We start from the raw sequence: 6,998 nt of genomic DNA on the forward strand, positions 1-6,998 counted from the left end.
CAATCATGGCGGAAGGTGAAGGGGGAGTGGGTACATGATATGGTAAAAGCAGGAGCAAGAGAGACAGGGAGGGTCTTTTTTAAACAACCAGACCTTGCAAGAATTCACTCACTAGCACAAGGATAGCACCAAGAGGACGGTGCTAAACCATTCATGAGAAATACACCCGCAGGAGCCAATCAACTCCCAACAGACCCCACCTCCAACACTGGGGATTATGTTTCAACATAAGATTTGGGTGAGGATGTAGATGCAAACCATATCACAGCACCTGGGCCAGGTGATAAAAGTCAACATCAAGAGCAATAAGCCATGTTGATAATATAGAGCCTTAATATGATGCGAATGGCATTACCTCTGTCATCTTACTCAAACCCATAATCCCAAATTAATCCTGAGAAATCAGACAAATCCCAATTGAGGAAAATGCTACAAAACACCTGACTAGTATTTCTCAAAAACTGTCAAGGTCATCAAAAGAAAGCAAAGTCTGAGAAAACGTCACCAGCAGGAGGAAGCTATGGAAACATGACTGCTAAATGTAACATGGTATCCCGGATGGGAATCCTGCAACATTAGGGGAAAACTGAAGGAATCTGAAAAAAACTATAGACTTTACTTAATAATAATGTATACATATTGGTTCATTAACCATGATAATGTTCCATACCAATGTAAGATGGTGATAATAGGACAAACTGGGTGTGGGGTTTATGGGAATTCCCTGTACTATCTTTGCAACAATTCTGTAAATCTAAAACTGTTCTAAAATGTAAAACTTTATTGAAACTGTCATAATAGGCAAAAAAATCCAAATTTGAGAAAACCTATAAACACACAAATCTAAAAATTTTAATGAGTCCCAGCATAAGAATCACTATCACTAAGAAAATTACACTAGGGAAGATAATAATCAAATTTCTCAAAATCAGTATTAAAAATAAATCTTAAAAGCAGCCAGAGGGGGAAAAAGACACATTACATACAAAGAAAGAAAGAAAGATAAGAGTGACATTTCTTACCAGAAATAAATCAAAGAATAAAAGGGTGAGCAGCATCTTTAAAATAGGGAAAGCAAATAAATTGCCAACTGGAATTCCCTATTCAGTGAAAATATCTTCCAAAATGAAAGTGAAATCGACTTTTTCAGATATACAAAAGCTACAAGAATTAATTGTCAACTGACTTGCACTGTAAGAAATGTTAAAGGAACTTCTTCACGCAGAAGAAAAGTGATATCAAATAAATATATGGATCTCAAAGCAATAAAGAGCACAGAAATGATAACTACATGGGTAAATATGTACTTTTTATCTTGCTATTTACATATCTTTAAAAGATAATTATAGTTGTAACAATACCAAAATAATTCAAGATGTTAACAATAGAGTAAACTGAATGTGGCATAGACTGGGAACTCTCTGTACTAACTTTACACATTTTCTGAAAAGCTAAAACTATTCTAAAATAAAAAATTTATTTAAATATTAACTTAATAATGAGAAACAATATAGTGTGAGGTTTATAATATGCAAGTAAAATGCAGGACAATAATAGCATAAAAGTGAGGAGGGAAGAAATGGAAATATACTATTGTAAAGTTTTTATGCTATGTATGATGTGGTCAAATATCACTTGAAGAAAGACTGATAAGATAAATATATGCATTAGAAATCCTAAAGCAACCACTAAAATAATGAAACAAATGGCTATAGATCATAAGCCAACAAAGGAAAGAAAATGATATCATGAAAAATACTCAATCTGAAGAAAAAAACAGATGAAGCAAATATAAAACAAATTACAAAATAATGGACTTAATTCCAATTATATCAACAATTACATTAAATATAAATGATCTAAACACCTTCATTAATATACATAGATTGTTGGGTTGCATAGAAAAAGCAAGACCCATAAATATATATATGCTGCCTACCAAAAATACACTTTAATTATAAAGACATAAGTAGGTTAGAAGTAAAAGAATTTTAAAAAGCATAAGCAAAACTAGCACCAATCAAAGCCAGAATAGCTATGGTAATATAAGGGAAGCAGATTTAAAAGCAAAGAATATTACTGGGACAAAAAAGGTCATTTCATAATGATATAAGAGTCAGTCCATCAAGAGGATTTAGTAATCAAAATGTTTATACACCCAGTAACAGAGCCTTAAAACAAATAAAGCAGAAAACTGACCAAATTACTAGGAGAAATAGACAAATTCACATTATAACAGGAAATTCAATATTCCTCTTTCAATAATAGAACAAGTAGACAGAGAATTGGTAAGGATATAAGAGACTTGAACAAAACAATCAACTTGATTTAGCTGACACTAATAGGACGCTCCACCTGATAACAACACAATACATAATCTTCTCAAGTGCACAAGGAGCATTTACTGAGACAGATCTTACTATGGGCCATAAAACAAGTCTCAGTAATTTCAAAAGGATTCAAGCAACACAAAGTATGCTCTCTGACCAAAAAGAAATTGAATTACAATTCAAAATTAAATTCAAAGTTAACAGAAAGAAGGAAACAATAAAAATCGAGAAGTAAATCAAGGAAACAAAGCACAGGGAAAAATGAGAAAAAAATCAATAAACCAAAAATGGATTCTTTTTGAGAAAATCAATCAAATTGCTGAACTTCTACCAAGATTAATCAGGAAAAAAAAGACAGAAACTGCCAGTATTAGGAAGTAAGAGAGATGACATCATTTACAGATTCTACAGATATCCAAAGGATAATACGGGCTATTACAAATAACTTTATTCTGATAAATTGACATCTTAAACAAAATGAACAAATTCAATGAAAGACTGAAATTACCAAAACTCATACAAGAAAAAATAGATAACCTAAATACACTCACAAACACAAATTAAATTTCTAGTAAAAATTCTATTCACAAAGAAAACATCACAGCATCACTGGTAAATTTTACCAAACATTTAAAGAAAAAGGATACCAATTCTAGAAACACTCTTTCTAAAAATTAAAGAAGAGGGAATACTCCTTCACCATTTCTATGAGACCAGGATTATTACCCTGATACCAAAAGTAGGCAAAGACATTACAAGAAGAGAAAACTAAGGCTAAAACCTGTCATAAAAATAGATGCAAGAATTCTAAACAAAATTTTATCAAATCAAGCCTGAAAATATGTAAAAAGGATAATATCTCATGATCAAGTGTGGTTTCAGAATACAAGGTTGGTTTAACACTCAAAAATCAATCAATATAAATTTTCATATTAATGAAACTAGAAAAGGAAAAGCATATTATTATCAATATACATATGTGCACTGGTTAGGGTTCTCCAGAGAAACAGAACCAACAGGGGTGTGTGCGTGTGTGTGTGTGTGTGTGTGTGTGTGTGTGGAGAGAGAGAGACACACAGAGAGAGAGAAAAAGAGAGAGAAAATCCAAAATCGGCAGGGTAAGTGGCAGACTGGAGCCCCAGGAAAAAGCTGCAGCCCAAATCCAAAAGCAGTCTGCTGGCAGAATTCCTTCTGGCTTAGAGAAAGTCAATCTTTGTTTTGTTAAGGCCTTCGTCAACTGCTTAGATGAGGACTATGGTTCAAGCTTGTCCAACCTGTGGCCCATGGGCCACATGCAGCCAGGCACTGCTTTCAATGCAGCCCAACACAAATTAGTAAACTTTCTTAAAACATGAGACTTTTTTGCAAAATTTTTTTTAGCTCATCAGCTATCATTCGTGTTAGTATATTTTATGTGTAGCCCAAGACAATTCTTCTTTTCCCAGTGTGGCCCAGGAAAGCCAAAAGATTGGACACCCCTGGTTTAGATGTTTGTCCCCTCCAAACTTCATACTGAAGCTTGATCCCCGATGTTAGAGGTGAGGCCTAATGGGAGGTGTTTTGGTGATGAGGCCAGATCCCTCCTGAATAGATCCTCCCTCAAGGATGAGTCAGTTCTTTACTGGTTGCTGTTTATTAAAAGAGCCTGGCATCTCCCCTTCTTTGCTCGCTCTTGCTTTCTCTCTCACCATGATGCAGATGCCCAATCTTGAAATTTTCGGCCATAAGAATCATGAGCCAAATAAATCTTTTTTCTGTATAGATCTCCAGTCTCAGGTATTTCTTTATAGCAACACAAAATGAACTAAGACAAGGACCCTGCACATTGTGGAGGTTAATCTGCCCTACTCGGAGTTCACCAATTTAACATTAATCTCATCCAAAAGTTACCTTAGCTGAAGCATCTAGAATAATATTTGACCAGACATCTAGGCACAGTAGTCCAACCAATTTGATACATAAAATCAACCACCGCAATGCTAAGAAAAAGTATCTAACAAACAATATACAATATCCTTTCCTGATAAAAACTCTCAGCAAATTAGGAATAAAAGGGAATTTCTTCAACCTGATAAGGAGTATCTATGAAAAACTTACAGCTAACATATTTAATGGTAAACGATTGAAAGCTTTCTTCCTGAGATGGGAAACAAGGTGAAGATATCTGCTCTACCCAGTGTAATAAGAAAATAAAAAGAAACAAATACACCCAGATTGGAATGGAAGAAGAAAAACTGTCTTAATTTATACAAGAAATGATTGCCTATGTAGATGGTCAAACAGAATCTACATGAAACACACAAAGAACAATCAGACATTGAAATTTTACTAGCATAAAAATGCAAAATACTGCGAGAGAAATCTAAAAAAATATGTACAAGTCTGGTGTACTGAAAACTATAAAACATTCCTGAGAAAAAACAAGTAATACCCAAATAAATAAAGAAATATACTGAGTCCTAGATTGAAAGACTCAGAATTATTATCAGGATGTCAGTTTCTGACAAATTCATCTATAGATTCAACGTAATCTCAATCAGCACCCCAGCAAGCTTTCTGTAGAAACTGACAAACTGATTTTAAAATTCCTATGGAAATCCAAAGGACCTACAGTAACCAAAACATCTTTGAAACAGAACAACATACTTAGAGGACTTACTGTATCTGATTTCAAGGTTATAAAATTATAATAATTAAGACAGTGTTCTACTGGCATAATGATAGAGAAGTAAATCAGTGGAACAGATCAGATAGCCAAGAAATAGACTCACACATGAGGACAGCTAGTTTGACAAAGGTGCAAAGTCAGTTTAATAGAGAAATTGTATCTTTTCAACCAATGATGCTGGAACAATTGGATATCCACCTGCAAAAAGACAAAATAACTTTGACCAATTCCTCAAGCTGTATTCAAATTCATTAATGTAAAATGAATTAGTAACCTAATATAAATGTAAAACTGTGAAACTGTTAGATGAAAACATGGTGGAAAATCTTTGTGACCTTAGATTAGTCACAGAAAGGATATGACGGCAAAGGCACAATTCATAAAAGAAAGGTGGCTAAATGGAATGTCATCAAAATTTAAAAATTCCACTCTTTTGAAAGGCAGTCATAAGAGAATAAAGAAAGCAAGCCATCAGCTGATAGGAAATATTCACAAATCATATTACGATGAAGGACTTATATCCAGAATATTCATTGCATATTCTCTGTGTATTTTCAAAAATGAATAGTAAGAAAACAACCCTATAAAAATGAGCAAAAAAGATATACAGATATCTCCTACACACTTGACCAAAGAAGATATATGGATAATAAATAAGGTCATGAAAACATGCTCAACATCATTAATCATTAGGAAAATGAAAATTAAAAATCGTAATGAGATATCGCTACACACCTATTAGAATGGTTAAATTTTCTTGCTTTAAAACTGATCATACCAACTTTTGGCAAAGGTAGGAGAAACTGTAATTCTCATGCACTGTGAGTGGGAAGATTAATGGTACAACCCCTTTAAAAAATGATTTGGTAGATTCTTAAAAGGTGAAACACACACCGGCCGGCCATATGATCCATCCATTCCACTCCTAGGTATTTATTCAAGAAAAATGAAAGCATTTGTCTCCACAAAGACTTGTTCATGAATGTTTATAGCATTGGATCATAGATAGCCCAAACCAGAAACAATCCAAGTGACGCCTAACAAGTGAAGGTATAAGCAAATATACCCATTCATGTTATTTATCAATAAAAATAAATGAACGATTGATACCTGCAACAATATCAATGAATCTCAAAATAAGTATATGGCATGAGATAAGCCAGACAAAAGAATACATCCTGTATGTGTCCATTGACATAACACCGTAGAATGCAAAGAATACCTGATAGAAGGCGGATCAGTGGTTACCTAAGGCTGGGGAGGAGGGGTGGGAGGAAGGGATTACACAGTTGTAATTTAATTACGAATTTAAAACTTACAAGAAATTGTTGACGGTGATGATGGTCTCACTGTTGTACACATATGTCAAAATTCATAAAACTCTGCATTTTGGCCCAGTGTGGTAGCTCACGCCTGTAATCCCAGCACTTTGGGAGGCTGAGGCAGGTGGATCACCTGAGGTCAGGGGTTCCAGACCTGCCTGGCCAACGTGGTGAAACCTCATCTCTATTAAAAATACAAAAAACTTAGCCGGGCGTGGTGGCACGCACCTATAGTCCCAGCTACTCAGGAGGCTGAGGCAGGATAATTGCTTGAACCCTAGATGCAGAGGTTGCATTGAGCCGAGATTGCACCACTGCACTCTAGCCTGGGCAACAGAGAGAGACCTATCTAAAAAAAAAAAAAAAAAAAAAAAAAAAAAAAAACAAAAAAAAACCTCTATATTTTAAATATGTGTAGTTTATTGTATGTCAGTTAGCCCCCAATAAACCTATAACTTCCCAGGGGAAATGGCTGAGATTGATGCCACCTTCAAAGAGTTAAAGAAGGCCTAGGTAGTAACCCCCACCATCTCTCTCGTGATTTCCCCTCTCTGGCCTCTCTGCAGACTGGCTGAATCAGAATAGATGATTGCAGACCTCAAACTCAACCAAGTAGCAACACCAAATGGGCTGCCAGGCCAGATGTGGTATCTTCGTTTAATCTTAGATTAAATTAGA

This window comes from Homo sapiens, chromosome 11, assembly GCF_000001405.40.
Source record: "Homo sapiens chromosome 11, GRCh38.p14 Primary Assembly".
NCBI lineage: Eukaryota > Metazoa > Chordata > Mammalia > Primates > Hominidae > Homo > Homo sapiens.